General features: G+C 43.8%; 1 protein-coding gene across 1 annotated transcript in view, besides 1 other annotated feature; it reads right to left on the bottom strand.

The window, feature by feature from the left end:
• Positions 1–15,988, bottom strand: part of ARL6IP5 (ARF like GTPase 6 interacting protein 5) — a 21,156-nt gene extending 5,168 nt beyond the window's left edge. The window contains exon 1 of the mRNA NM_006407.4: positions 15,702–15,988. Coding sequence (NP_006398.1) covers positions 15,702–15,877 — 176 coding nt within the window. The 5' untranslated portion in view covers positions 15,878–15,988. The remainder of the gene's footprint in view (positions 1–15,701) is intronic.
• Positions 15,908–16,217: an enhancer, noted in NCBI's record as "active region_20053". NCBI's record gives its function as "activates an Ori minimal core promoter by ATAC-STARR-seq in GM12878 lymphoblastoid cells {active_cell/tissue: GM12878}" and the evidence as "EXISTENCE:reporter gene assay evidence [ECO:0000049][PMID:35858748]".

Below are 16,217 nucleotides of genomic sequence, written 5' to 3'. Positions count from 1 at the left end.
CTGGCTTGAGTGCCTTCTCATTCAGACAGAATAAACAGTCTCCATTGAGCTCCAGTCCACACTGCTCTCTACTGCATCATGGACACATAGGCCCAAAGTGAGGTGCTATTAATCACTGTTTTTCTTTTTTTTTTTTTTTTATTTGAGACAGAGTCTTGCTCTGTCACCCAGGCTGGAGTGCAGTGGCGCAATCTTGGCTCACTGCAACCTCTGCCTCCTGGGTTCAAGCAATTCTTGTGCCTCAGCCTCCCGAGTAACTGGGATTACAGGTACATGCCACCACGCCCAGCTAATTTTTTGTATTTTCAGTACAGGTGGGATTTTGCCATGTTGGCCAGGCTGGTCTTGAACTCCTGGCGTCAAGTGATCTGCCCAGCTCGGCCTCCCAAAGTGCTAGGATTACAGGCATGAGCCACACCATGCCCAGTCTAATCATTGTTTTTCTAATAGCTGGCCTGAATCGCTCTCTTACATAACCTGCCTGCCCCATGGAGGCATTTGAGTTTATGACTCCTCACATAGAGAGTTCATTATAAGTGTTTTAAAATGCCCAAAGTATCATTAGGAGATGAGTTACCAATGCAGATTTTCAAGCACACAGTTCCAGATTCATTCTTATATAAGCCAAATGTTTAGTATGTAATAGCAATTACACTACTATTGATAATGGAGGAAACACATTATGTAGAAGAAATTTATGCCAGGCATGGTGGCACACACCTGTAATCCTAGCACTTTGGGAGGCCTAGGTGGGTGGATCACCTGAGGTCAAGAGTTCAAGGCCAGCCTGGCCAACATGGTGGCACCTCATCTCTACTAAAAATACAAAAATTAGCTGGGCGTGGTGGTACATGCCTGTAATCCCAGCTACTTGGGAGGCTGAGGCAGGAGAATCACTTGAACTCAGAAGGTGGAGGTTGCAGTGAGCTGAGATCACGCCATTGCACTCCAGCCTGGGCAACAAGAGCAAAACTCTGTCTCAATAATGATAATAAGAAGAAGAAATTTAGACAAAGTTTTGGGCATTATAGTCGCCCACCCCAATCCACTGTGTATACAAAACCCTTAACAAGACGTCTGTGGTGGGCTGGTACAATGAGTTACTTAACTTTTTACCCTAGAGGCTAATGAGGACTTTACTTGGGAAGGACACAGACGATAGTGTGTTCTCCTCATGCCCTGAATAGTAACATTGCTGATTTGAAATGAGGGAAGGGGGAAGACAGGATAAGGGAGGGTGATGCCAAGAGCTTACTTTCTCTGAAATGGAAGAGATGAAGAACTCATGCTCATATTGGGATTCGTATTCAGGATAAATACAATTCTTTTTCAAAAATCCCTTTAAATTTTAGCTCTGTTTCTGCCTACTGAAACATAAAAGGAATTTTGAACATTTTAAAATTAAGAGTAAAAGCTTTTCACACCTGAATGGGTGAAATTAAGGGATAAAATCAATGTCAAACTGCTTTGAAAAAGCTAAAAATTTCTATTAAGATGCACAAAGCTAAACAGTGGTAAGAGTAGTTGCATATAATTTTTTTTTGTTTGTTTTTTTGAGATGGAGTTTCACTCATTGCCCAGGCTGGAGTACAATGGCGCGATCTCGGCTCACTGCAACCTCTGCCTCCCAGGTTCAAGCAATTCTCCTGCCTCAGCCTCCCTACTAGCTGGGATTACAGGCACCCGCCAACATGCCCAGCTAATTTTTGTATTTTTAGTAAAGACGGGGTTTCACCATGTTGGCCAGGCTGGTCTCGAACTCCTGACCTCATGTGATCCACCCCCCACCCCCCCCGCCCCTCAGCCTCCCAAAGTGCTATTACAGGCATGAGCCACCGCACCCAGCCAGTTGTACATAATTTAAAACTAAACTCTACAATAATAAGTTGCTAATTTCATTCAAAATCCTTGCAAATACTTGTATCCTTCAAGCCAATAAATCCCCTCCTCAGAATATAGTCTAAGGAATTAAACAAAAACGCAAAGATTGAGTTGTAACAGTATTGATATTAGTGGTATTTATGATTAAAAACTTTCAGAAACGACCTATATGGCCAACAATACCAATAGCTGTGGTATTGTATACACAGCTATTTTTAAAACATTGAAGTGCATTTAATAATATGGGAAGACATTATATATTGAGTGGGTAAAAGCAATTGTAATACATAATGCATTGTCTGTTAGGTAGATTTATCATATAAGTTAGATAGCTCAGAAGTAGAAGTTTCTAGGCTGAGTACAGTGGCTCAAGCCTGTAATCCCAGCACTTTGTGGGGGCCAAGGTGGGTGGATCTTTTGAAGTCAGGAGTTTGAGACCAGCCTGGCCAACGTGGTGAAACCCCACCTCTACTAAAAATACAAAAATTAGCTGGGCCTGGGCTGGGCATGGTGGCTCATGTCTGTAATCCCAGCACTTTGGGAGGCTGAGGCGGGCAGATCACCTGAGGTCAGGAGTTCAAGACCAGCCTGGCCTACATGGTAAAACCCTGTCTCTACTAAAAATACAAAAAATTAGTTGGGCTCGGTGGCGGGAGCCTGTAATCTCAGCTACTCGGAGGCTGAGGCAGGAGAATTGCTTGAACCTGGGAGGCGGAGGTTGTAGTGAGCCGAGATGGTGCCATTGCACTCCAGCCTGGGCAACAAGAGCAAAACTATGTCTCAAAAAAAAAAAAAAAAAAAAAGCCAGGTATGGTGGCAGGCACCTGTAGTCCCAGTTACTTGGTAGGCTGAGGCAGGAGAATCACTTGAACCCGGGAGGCAGAGGGTGCAGTGAGCCGAGATTGCGCCACTGCACTCCAGCCTGGGTGACAGAGTGAGACTCTGTTTCCAAAAAAAAAAGAAATAGAAATTTCTATAATTAGTATATTATTTCATAATCAGAAATAAAATGAATATATAAAAAAGGAAATACAAAAACATAAAAGCAGCTGCTCTCCAACCCACAACCGCCGCTTGGCACAGACCAACCACAAAAGTCCATCTCTACTTGTCCCATCTCGCCAACAACATTAATGGAATTTCAGTTCATGAACCACAGCGAAGCTGTTCCTTCTCCAATCCAAATCCTGGTTTTCTGCTCATCCTCCAGATCCTCTTGTGCCAGTCTATAGCACCCCAGTGCCCCAACCTTCCCCAATACCCAGCACATGTGCTATTCTCTCTGCCCTCTTCCCCTCCCTCTTGGTTCTGTGTTACCTGGGTCTACTTGGCCTCTCTGCACTTTCTTTCTGTTTTATTTTATCTGGATTATGCCCTGTCTTCTGAGACAACCCCGGAATTGGTCTGGGAAAGAAAAAATTCCCTTATACGCCTGAGGAAGGAAAGAATCTGATGAATCAAAACCACAATCCCCTTCAGCAGGTTGTAGAGAGTGGAGAGTGAATGAAGAGGCCTTGAAACTCTTATAGATTAATATTATCTAATTCCCAGCATCACAAAAGATTCTAAGCCAGTGTGGTAGCTCATGTCTGTAATCCCAGCACTCTGGGAAGCCGAGGTGGCGGATGCATCGCTTGAGCCCAGGAGTTTGAGGCCATCCTAGGCAACATGGCGAAACCCCATCTCTCCAAAAAAAAAAAAAAACACCCCACAAAAATTAGCCAGGTGTGGCAGCACACACCTATAGTCCCCACTACTTGGAAAGCTGAGGTAGGAGGATCATCTGAGCTCAGAGGTCAAGGCTGCAGGGAGCTGTGATGGTGCCACTATACTCTAGCCTGGGTAACAGAGTGAGATCCTGTCTCAATTAAAAAATAAAAAGATACTTAGAGAAACTGAAAAATTATACCAAAGACTACAGTATAGTAGGATAAGGGGAGTTTATTTCCATTTGCTTATTTTTATTTTCATATTTTTTTCAATGGCCATGTATTCCTTGATGAATAAAAAAAATTGGTATTTAAAAATGAACAAATGAAATTGGGGAAAGGCTCCTGAATGTAAAAAACCCTTTACAAAGCCTTGACTTTGACCTATAACCTACCCAAATGTTTCTTCTGAGCCGTAAAGAAAAACAAAGATCGCCAGGTACAGTGGCTCACACCTGTAATCCCAGCACTTTGGGAGGCTGAGGCAGGTGGATCACAAGGTCAGGAGATCAAGACCATCCTGGTCAACATGGTGAAACCCCGTCTCTACTAAAAGTACAAAACTAAGCCTGGCTTGGTGGCATGTGCCTGTAATCCCAACTACTTGGGAGGCTGAGGCAGGAGAATTGCTTGAACCCGGGAGGCGGAGGCTGCAGTGAGCCGAGATTGTGCCACTGCACTCCAGCCTGGGTGACAGAGCGAGATTCCGTCTCAAAAAAAAAAAAAAAAAAAAAAAAGCAAAGCAAAACAAAGATCAAATCAACACAAAGAACTCAAATGGAGGATTGAAATTCAAGGAAATTCCTTTGCATACCCTGCAAGTAGGAGTGGGTTGGCTGGCAGCAAAGCATCAAAGGGCTCCTACTCAGTTCATTCTGGAATACTTATTAAAATAATAATTCATGAAGTGAAGCATATAACAAAATTCATGTCAAGCTGTTTTTATTTTCCTCTAGACAAGTAAAATACATATTTAGGTTGAGTGCCTAAAGTCCAGGACAAGGAACAATGAAAAATCCAGGCCTAACTCAAGCAATTCCAAATTTGTTTCACCTGTTCTGGTTGCTCATGTCCAAGAGAAAAGAACAGAGCCTGAAGTTCTATAGAACTGGTTTTAGTTCATAACCTGCCCAACAACAGTCTATAATTAGAAAGCAAGCAAGTTTCCAAGCTGGAAAAAAACTAACGAAGTTACTCTGAGCAGAAATTATTTTCTTCTGTATCTGATAAAATGTATACCACTCCAATGCCCTGGCACTTACCTGTATTTGGAACAAAAGACAGACAGACAGACAGACAGACACACACACACACACCCTCTACAGATTAACAGAAATTCTCAGAAATCTGGGAACCAGTTCTTGCCTGAGATGCTTTTTAGTCAACAGTTGGGCTGTTTATCACAGCAATCACGACAAACCCCAAAGACTTTTAGGACAAAACTTTCCATAAACATGCCACCCATCTTTCATGTAGACAGCTGCCTCTGTGGTCTGCTGGGTGGAGTTTCACTTACTGATAGTCCTAGAGTAAGAAAGAGGGCTGGGTGCGGTGGATCATAACTGTAATCCCAGAACTTTGGGAGGCTGAGGTGGGTGGATCAGCTGAAGCTAGGAGTTTGAGACCAGCCTGGCCAACATGGCGAAACCCCATCTCTACTAAAAACATAAAAATTAGCTGGGCGTGGTGGCGCATGCCTGTAATCCCAGCTGTTCAGGAGGCTGAGACACGAGAATCACTTGAACCTGGGAGGTGGAGGTTGAAGTGAGCTGAGATTGTGCCACTCCAGCGTGGGTGACAGAGCCAGACTCCGTCTCAAAAAAAAAAAAAAGAACGAGGGATGGTGAGAAAGAAGGGAGAAACAGCAGGACCTAGTTTTGCAACTCAAAAACCGTTATGTTTTTCTATTGTGAAATTAAAAATATATTAATACATATGTTTGTATATATTTTAATTATATATATTTAAAATATGAACATGTATTACCCAATTCCAATAAATAATTAATAAATCTTTCCCTATAATAGTTACACATTCTAGAGCAGTCATTTATGGTTATAAAAAGGTTTAGAATCCCATCACAGAAATTTTGTAGCAGTCTTCAAAGATGAATCAGTCTAGTCCAATTATACAGATAACTAAACTGAGGCCCAGAGAAGAAACATATCCAAAGGGATCCAGGAGAGAAACAAGAAAACAAGGGTGCCAGTTGTGGCAGCAACTCACAGTAGAACCCATTCTGTCATGTTAACCGGCTTTAAGGATTTCCCCCACACTCTAAGTAACCTACTATAACCAAGGATCATCCTGGAAAATCCCTCTGCACTCTCATTTCTCTCTGAAACAAGGTGGCTATTAGTGGGTGTGGATACAGGTCCTAAACTTCCCAACGTGATTCAGTAGCTATGTCTATAGTTTTACCACAAGTTACTGAAAGGGGAAAAAAAAATCTCACAAAATTTTAGAGCTAGGAAGGATCTTGCTAACCCACCTCATTTTACACGTAAGCAAGCTAAAGAATATACAAGTTAATAAATTTGTCCAAGGCCACCAATTGCAAAGTTGGCAATAAAAGTTTGCCATAACAGAAATCCTCGGATCAACTCAAGGCCACATTTGGTGACTCCTGTCAGGCTGCAAGGCCAAAAAGAACCACCAAAGAGGCAGCAAAATATTTCCTGAGGAGTACAGGCAGCTTTGCACTGAGTTCCAATTTTCTAGCCGAAAAAGCTATTTTTGAAGTGTGGTTTCTGAGGAAGGCTGACTCACCGAAAAAGTGGGGAACAATATACTCACGGTGGACTTCTCTAAATTGGCGATGTTTCTCTGTGGTCCTTAATCAGCCAGAGGGATCACTGCAAATATGAACCCACCCAACCATTTTCTTTTCATTGTTCTTAAACTAAAAACAGAATTCTTTAAACATTCTACAAGGCTTCGCAGGGTCTGGCCCCTGCCTGCCTCTGCAGCCAGGGCCACTGTATATAGGTGTGGAGTTGGTGCCTGGCTGAGGGGGTAAGTGGGGCCTGGAATCCAGGTCACACACTCCACAAGCCAAGGCCAAAATTTGGCTTTGGCTGTAACTGCTAGGAGAGGAAGAAGTGCCTTAGTAATTAGCATGAGGGAACTCTCAGGGCTAGCAGCTGGCCTACCTGCCAGGTTTGTCACACCATCTCCTGATTGCACCCCCATCCACTCAGGGTTTCTATCTACCCCAGAACTCACCTTGCCTTTTGCCATCTCAGGGTGAGGTGAATCAGGCAGAGAGGATACTTTGCACACAGGCCTCACTCCACCCTCCTTCAAGTCTCAGCTCAGCCAGCCTTTCCTCAGTCTCTCTGACCAGAGCACAGCTCCATATGCCTTTTCTTTTCTTTCCTCAAGAAAGGTTCTTCCTCTGTCACTCAAGCTGGAGTATGATGGCATGGTCATAGCTCACTGCAGCCTCTTTCTCCCACACTCAAGTGACCTTCCTCAGCCTTCTGAGTAGCTGAAACTACAGACTACAGGTGAGTGCCAGCTTGCCTGGCTAATTTTTAATTTTTTTCTTTTCTTTTCTTTTTTTTTTTTTTTTGAGACAGAATCTCCCTCTGTCGGCAGGCTGAAGTGCAGTGACACAATCTTGGCTCGCTGCAACCTCTGACTCCCTGGTTCAAACAATTCTCCTGCCTCAGCCTCTCCAGTAGCTGGGATTAAAGCATGCGCCACCACACCCAGCTAATTTTTACATTTTTAGTAGAGACGATGTTTCACCATGTTGGCCAGGCTGGTCTCGAACTCCTGACCTCAAGTGATCTGCCTGCCTCAGCCTCCCAAAGTGGAGAGCTATTTTTGACTATAGGCATAAATGTGGGCTTTGGACACAAATTCGTCTTGAGTAAATGAGAACAGTGTCTCCTTGGCCTAAGGATCATGGAATAAAGGAGACTGTACAGTAGGTAAAACTGAACAGGAGCCTGTCTCTTTTGTTACAGAAAGGTCATAGTGAGATTTTCCTAACCAACTGAATTAGGAAGGCCTAGAGGATTTATTGTATTCTTGCCATTCCCTAAATATTTACTGTATCCTGTGTAATTTGGCACAAATTAAACACTCGCATCCAAACCAACCATTGTCTTTTTAACAGTTGGCATGTTAAAAGTGTTCATACTAAGACATGCCTTAGGAACCTCCAGATTTTCTTTTGTTTTTAATAAACAACAGGTTGGACTCGGATTAGAAACCATAAATCTGACGCTTCCCACAGTGACGGAGCTTCAAATAATAGTTGTGTACAAAGCTCTGATTAGACTTCATAAAACCCTTTTTAACTTTTCATTATGGAAAACTAACATATACATAGGTAGAGAGAATAATGTATAATGAATCTTCATGTATGCTCATCACTGCTTTCACAATTAGCAACCCATGGTTACTCTTAACAACCAATACTTTTTGGGGAACAGAAGTGGAAAGATATTTGTTTACAAACTGTTCTTCTTGAATGATTTTAGAAAATTAAAAAAAAAAAAAAAAGGCTGGGTACAGTGGCTCACACCTGTAATCCCAGCACTTTGGGAGGCTGAGGTGGGGGGATAACTTGAGGCTAGGAGTTCGACACCAGCCTGGCCAACATGGTGAAACCCCGTCTCTACTTAAAAATACAAAAATTAGCCAGGCATAATTGTGTGTGCCTGTAATCACTTAAAAATACAAAAATTAGCCAGGCATAGTTGTGCGTGCCTGTAATCCCAGCTACTTGGAGGCTAAGGCAGGAGAATCGCTTGAACCTGGGAGGCAGAGGTTGTAGTGAGCCAAGATCCTGCCATGGCATCCAGCTTGGGCGATGCAGAGAGACTCTGTCTTAACAAAACAAAACAAACAAAAGCTACTGAGAACTGTCACATGGCAAATTCTTACAGAGCTGTGGAGAGAAGACAGGGGCTGGACAAATGCTAACGAGCTTGGTAACACAGACTTCCTTCTCACAAGTTTCCTGTCTATTTACCCCTCACTAACCCCCAATTTCTGCATTCTTTTTCCTCTGAGACAAGGAGAAGCTGCACCAATGAGATATGAAGCAGATTAGAAGAAGCAGGGCTTTCTGCCTTCCAGGTGTCTCCTTTAGCAAATTGCATAACGAGAAGGAAGGCCAGGAAATCCTATCATATATCAATGATGAATGCTTGCAAACCTGAAGTTGTTAGCCTGAAGGTTTTGCCTAAAATTACAGGGCTTGAAGGCATTCTCAGAAACAGGAAGCCACGCTCATTTCAAGAGACAGAGGATGGTATTAAGGGTGAAGGCATTCTCAGAAACAGGAAGCCACGCTCATTTCAAGAGACAGAGGATGGTATTAAGGGTTAAGTTTTCTGAAGCTGAGTGATAAGGATAGAATTCATTTGTCCAAAAAATAAAAAATACAAAATTTCCAATATTGATGCTTAATTAGATATTAAGTGGGTAGGTCAAGAATGGGTCTTGACCTTTTTGAACTGGATTTCCTGTACAGAGCTCTCTGTCCCTAAGCTGATGGAGAGCTTCTCCTTTCTAAGACAGGGGGCCAGGAATCCAAAATACACTCATTTATTTGCACACTTACCTAGAATCATTGTAAATCCTTACCTAGGGAAAGGAAACAGAAACTACCAACCAAAGGCCAAAAGTAGCAGGCAACATTGAAAAAAAAAAAAAAAAAAAAGCTGGACGGAGAGGGGAGAGAAGTTCAGATAAACAAAGTTACATAAATAGTATCAAAGGTGTGCCAGCCATACCTCTCGCCTGTCATCCCAGCACTTTCGGAGACCAAGGCAGGAGGATTGCTTGAGCCCAGGAGTTCGAAACCAGCCTGGGCAACATGGCAAAAACCCTTCTCTACAAAAAAAAATACAACAATTAGCCAGGCTGGTGGCACATGCCTATAGTCCCAGCTACTTAAGATGCTGAGGCAGGAGGATCACCTGAGCCCAGGGAGGTAGAGGCTGTAGTGAGCCATGACTGCGCCACCATACTCCAGCCTGGGCAATAGAGTGAAACCCTGTCTCAAAATATATATATATGTATGTATATACACACACATATACACACATACACTGTCAGAGGTTATTTAATGAAAAGCAATCCTTATTAAAGATTTATATTTACTTATTTATTTTTTACACGGCGTCTCACTCTGTTACCCAGGCTGTAGTGCAGTGGCGTGCGTTCTTGGCTCATTGCAACCTCCGCCTCCCACGCTCAAAAGATCCTCCCACCTCAGCCTCCCAAGTAGCTGGGACCACAGATGCATGCCACCACGCCAGGCTAATTTTTTCTATTTTTGGTAGAGATGGGGTTTCGCCATGTTGCCCGGGCTGGTCTTAAACTCCTGAGCTTAGGTGATCTACCCGCCTCGGCCTCCCAAAGGGCTGGGATCACAGGCGTGAGCCATCATGTCCAGCCTAGATAAAGATTTTGAGATTAAAATGTTACTGTGTGTTGACAGACCTCTTAAAGTTCTGTATTCAGAAGAAACACATAAGCCATCAGAGGAAGACAGGTGCCAGCCTCAAATGCAAATAAATGGGCATCGAAGGGCAGGAGAATTCTGGGAGGATTTGGGAAGGCTGGTGGAGTTGTACTCCTGACTGTATCCTCAGGGCCTAGACAGTGTCTACCACATGGTAGGTGCTCAGTATTTGTTCAATGGAATAGAAGGATCTGAGCTGTGGGTTAGGATAGTAAAATTTAAAAAAACCTTTTTCCTGTCTACATACTCAATGCCTCCCCTATTCCCAACACCTGAGAGATTTGGAATTTGGAGTAATAATGTACAGGGGAGATCAGGTAAGTCAGGTTGAGAAGGATGTGTTTATGTAGGTGTGTATTTCTGTACACTTGCTATACTTGTATACAAATTAGTTATCATGTGTTCAGTGTGGTCTTGCTGCCTTTCCGTGAAGGCAGGAATCACAGCTGTCCTATTCTTCACTATCTCCTAGCAGTGTCTGAGAAGTTGGTAAGTGCTTCATACTCTTTGTTAATTGAATGAATGAAGCAACACAAATAAGAGTAATGTTGTAGAACTGGTGTTGAAGCTGACTAATCTCAAAAACATTTCCACTTGCTTTAGTATAAACAGACTGCAACTCATTCTATCTGCAATCATTTCAATAGATTCTGATCCAGAGCCTCCCAGGGTTGCCTTACGCTTTTTTTCCTCTACCAACTGGAAACTTGGTTCTTCATCTTTACAGCATTTAAAGGTACAAACAATACGAACATTTCATAATACCAGATGCTGGGAGCCACAGGCCTAGAACATATTACAGAGCCACCAAGCCACGTTCATTTTGAAAAGATTACATTAATGCTGTTTTCAAACTTATAATTACCAGCCTTCTAGAAACTCCTTACCATCTTGAGTAACTGAAAGCATAAAGTGGCAGCTGTCAATTCCACCCTCCTGCAACATCTCCATAGGCCAAATGATCAGGCCACATGGTGAGGAGTTACTTCAGCTGAGAAATCATGGGCTCATTCCTTCAGCAGCTACATGGTTCTATCTAAAGGGGGAGGCACAAATGTATATACATAAGAATACATGCAGCTCTCTTGCTGGAGAAGCAGCAGAGGCATTTTTATATGTTGCAAATTCTGTGTGTGGTTGGTGATTCTGAGGCCATACCAGAAAATATGAGTTCTAATGGCAGAAAATAATTTTTTTTTTTTTTTTTTTTAGACAGGGTTTCACTATGTTGCCCAGGCTAGTCTTAAACTCCTGGCCTTGAGCAATCCTCCCATCTCTGCCTCCCGAAGTGTTGGGATTACAGGTGTGAGCCACTATACCCATCCAGGAAAGAACTTTTCAGAATAAGACAGCAATAGCATTGCAAATATTGTAAGAGTCAGGGATGCAGTTGAATTTGGTTAATCAAGAGCTTTAGAAAATTTGCAATATGGCTTAATGGAAAAAATATTTCACTTCCTATTATTAGCAGCTTTAGTTCCAATTAGCCTGTGACCTCGAGCTTTTACATTTCAGAAGTTACGGGGTTCAAGAGGATCAGTATTTCTCCTAGGGGTGTATAATCACAATCACTTAGGAAGTTAGAGAAAAAGAAAAAAACAACAGATGCCTGGACCCTGCCAAGAACTATACATTTTGAATCACGGAAGGTGACACCTGGGCATATAGGTATATTTATTTAAATTTTCTTTTGAGCCAGACCAATCCAGTGCCTCTCAGATTTTAATGTACCTATGAATCATCTGAGACTTTTGTTAAAATGTAGATTCTAACCCAGTAGGTCTGAAATGGGGCCTGAGATGCTTCACTTCTGACAAGCTCTCAGGCGAAAGATGCTGCTGTTCCATGGCTCACACACTGAACAGAGTTCTCCAGCTCAAATCATTTGGCATTCCATTAAGCACAAAGAAGTTTTCATCCACAACTAGAATGTATCACACGCTTAGTACTTAAATTGCAAGTGTCATTAGGTGTTGCCTTTGTTTTTCACTTTGAAGATCAAGGTAGAGACTTCTATTGTTGTGTGTGATGTGAAAAGAATATCTTAATCCCAAAACGTCTCACATCAAGGATGCAGAAGGTAAGCTATGGCAACTTCGATCTTAGACACTTTTCCTTCTTGATGTAAAGGATCCAAAGGCATTTCCAGCAAAACGCAAGTTTCCTAGCCTGTTATTCATGCTATTCCTTTTAAATAATTCAATCTCTTCTGATCAGAAGTTTAAACACAGATTTATCTCTATCCTAATCCCTCTTAATCTCCGTCTTGGTATGGGCAGTTTTTTCCAGTGTTTCTGGATCTAGATAGTATTTGCTATGTTCTTCCCTCACCCTTCCTGAAATCTTGAAGAGGAGGCCCTCTCTATCCTCATCTAAGCCAGTTTCCAACATTGGAGAGCTGAGGCTAGAGCACTCCTACAATGCCCTTGAGGCTCTCCTCACCAGCAGGGGATGGAACCATTGTTGAACACTCTTTTATCCAGGTCACATTTTCACATATACTCTACCAAGATATTCTGAGAAACTAGAGAGAAGTCTGTGGAGGATCCAGATGAACAGCTGCCAGCACTGCTCTGACCTACCCATCTACTAGCATCACCGAAAGAGGATAGTTCTCTTTAGAATGAGAAGTGTTCTGGAATCAAGGACGCTCCCTAACTCTGAAGATGTTTGGTTTCTTCCTTGTGACTCATAGTAAGACAGAACAGTAGTTAAGAGCACAAGCCTAAGTTTGTGACTTTGAGTAAATCATTTAACCTCTCTGAGCCTCAGGTTTAATGATAAAAAAAAAGTAACAGTTTTTTAAAATTGGGTTCTATGACATAATGCAGGTAAAATACTTTGCAAGGTACCTGACACACAGAGCACTCAATAAATATTTATATTATTAAATGATAAAGAAAGAAAAGAGAACAACTGGTGGAAAAAACTACTGACTGTGCTTATAGTTGCATAGAAAACAGTTAGGGGTTATATACCAAACTTTTACTGAAGTATGAAGGAAATTTCACATTTTATCCACATAATTTTCAAATCAACCTTTACTACTAGCCTGTATCTTTTGTAAGTTTTTAAAAATAAGGATAAGTTTTAAAAACTTCATGGCTACTTTTCACTTTTTCACTTCAAAATTTTCATTGACAACCAACAACTCTTATTTGAAAGGAAAATGAGGAGGGCCAACACCCCTAAACTACCTGAGTTAGTGGCCTAAGGCACAATACTGACGGAGCTATATTTAGTCAAAGGGCTGGCCCCTGGCCTTCACAGTGAAAAATGGATTCTATCAAAAGCAGCAAGGCTGTCTGAGCTTGTGCCTGGTCTGGGCAGCACACATGTCTGAAGAAAATAGACTTTTTTTTTTTTTTAATTATTGGTCTGTGTCAAACTTTGCCCCACATCTAAGTTACCTCAAGAAAATACCTCCATAACTAGATCACCAGATAAGATGCCCTCCTGCTTCTTTGCAAAGAGAAAGAAAAAAACAAAAATTGATGCAAACCTATTTACTACTTATTTTGTTTTAAAGACTTTTTTGGCCAGGCACAGTAGCCCCCGCCTGCAATCTCAGTGCTTTGGGAGCCAAGGTGGAAGGATGGCTTGAGCCCAGAAGTCAAGACCAGCCTGGGCAACATAGTGAGACCCCATCTCTAAAAAAAATTAGCCAGGCTTTGTGGCACGCACCTGGGGTCCCAGTCACTTGGGAGACTGAGGTAGGTGGATTGCTTGAGCCCAGGAGGTTGAGGCTGTAGTGAGCTGTGATCACAATACTGCACTCCAGCCTGGGCAACAGAACAAGACCTTGTCTCAAAAGTAAATAAATAATAAAAATTTTTAAAAAGAAATTTTTGGCCAGGCACAGAGGCTCACGCCTGTAATCCCAGCACTTTGGGAGGCTGAGGCGGGCAGATCACCTGGCCAACATGGTGAAACCTTGTCTCTACTAAAAATACAAAAATTAGCTAGGCATGGTGGTACGTGCCTGTAATCCCAGCTACTCTGGAGGCTGAGGCACGAGAATTACTTGAATCCGGGAGGCAAAGGTTGTAGTGAGACGAGATCACGCCACTGCACTCCAGCCTGGGCGACAGAACGAGGCTCAGTCTCAAAAAAAAAAAAAAAAAAGAAATTTTTTAGTGTTCCAGGAAAGCAGCCTGAAGCACAGAGCTGAGGGAAGGTTCAGAAGGCAGCTGCCTCAGGCCTTGGGCCTGCCCCACCCTGCCCTGACTAACTTGTACCTTGGCTGCCACACTAGTTCCGAGTCCACTCAGAGCCTGTGCCCTCTATACACCAAGCCATTCCCAGAATGCAATTCCTTAAGAATTCCTTAAGCAATGCAGAAGAAGGATCTGTGCGATTGTGTATAGAGTCCCACATGTGGGCTTCCACCTCTGCATGGGGGTGATTGCTGTGAACCATACTCGGAAACTGTGAAGTCTCCCCCTCTCCTCTGTGCTGTGTGTTTGCTCCTTTAGCTTCTCAACAACTGCCAGGAGCCCCTGGGCCAGAATTCAAGTCTGATTCATCTTGGTGTGCTTGGAGCTTGGCATGGGGCCAGGCACAGAGAGGTGGCTCAATGTATAAGCCAATTAACTGCGAGCCAACTGAAGAAGCCACCCTGTTCACCCTTTCCCACACCCTTCAAGTGCAAATTTCTCCCTTTTCTCCCAAGCCAGCTTGCTGCTTCTTCCCTCTACGTCTGCCCTGAAATAGAAATGTCAGACATTTAAGTGCAAGTGAGTCCTTTATAAAGTCTGAGGGTGGCTTTTTCTTTAAAGATGTGTAGGAGATAATCAGCAAGATTGAGAATATCACCACCCATCCTGCATAAGCGAGAGAAGCATTTCTTAAAGGGTGAACTAGAAGGAAAGGTGGTTTCTAGGAAAGCAGGTGTACATGCAGTCTCAACACAGGATACTTTGTTAAGTATCAGGTATTGAAAAGGCCTTCTGATACATTGAAACCTCAGGCTAGGAAGCGAAGACAGAGAAAGTGACCACGCCTGGCCACTGCTGGAAGAAAATGCCAGAAGGCCATCTTCCCACAGTCATGGCAGCCTTTACCCCACAATGGGAGATGCGCCACCAGGAGACACCCCCCCTTTTGATCCCAAGCTCAGCTTTACTGTACAGTGTGGCAGGCATTAGGCAGAGAAAGCAGCAAAGTGCGTCGCCACTTGGTTGCCCTTTTTACACTAGCCCGGGTCCACACCCTGCCGCCCCAGCCAGCTCCAGGGTAGGGTTACACCACTTTCCTTTTTCTTCTTATTTTTAAAAGACGAGGGCGCTACAAATATCTTTCCAGCAAGAGCCCGATCCTGGCACGCGGGCGGGGGCAGGGGGGTGGGGGAACTCTCATTTTTCTTCCCTGCGGCTGGCAAATTTTCCCCGTCCTCTTTCCCCTAGGGCCCCCCTCAAGTCTCAGCCCTTGGTGCAGAAAATGGGGCCCCAGGTTACTGCGGCCTCGCCCTGCAAACAAGTTTCCACTGGCTTGGCCGCTTGCAGAATTGCCAGGGCAGGCGCTGAGCGTGGTCAGAGAGCGTCTCTACATCCCGGGATCTTGCACCCCGAGGCCCCTCCGTGCTCGCCCCGGATCGGTGTCCCGGGTAGGGGGACCCCACTTACCCCACAATGGAAATCATCATGGCAGCCACCACCAGGTAGTTGGTCTGGTAATAGAGCAGGTTGCTCACTACGCGGTTGTTCCATTTGGAAATGTCCCTGAAGTCCGGCCGGGCAAAGCGATCGGAACCCGGGAAGAAATCGTCCCAGGCGCGGAGTGGGGCGATATTAACGTCCATGTTCTCAGCTTTGCGTTCTTCGCCTCCAGAATCTGGCGGCGGCGGCGGCGGCAACCGATCAGCTGAGCTGAGTTGGAGAGTTGACAGCGGCTCCGTCTCGGTCGGCTTTGCGGTTGGCAGACAGCAGAGCAAAGGAAATTGGGAGTGGGCGGGCGTGTTTGCTCCTCTTTACTTCTTCATTGGCTCTTGGTTGGGTACAGGAAAACAGGAACCTCCAGACAGAACAAGGGACTGAGTGCAGAATAGAGACGAAATGACAGAAAGCAACTAGCGGAAATCCCCTGTCTGAAGGGAGGTGGCAATGCCTTCTCTAGCAGCAGAGAAGCTGCCTCCTTCGAAA

This window comes from Homo sapiens, chromosome 3 (assembly GCF_000001405.40).
Source record: "Homo sapiens chromosome 3, GRCh38.p14 Primary Assembly".
Lineage (NCBI taxonomy): Eukaryota > Metazoa > Chordata > Mammalia > Primates > Hominidae > Homo > Homo sapiens.
This window is presented reverse-complemented; position numbering and strand designations above follow the sequence as displayed.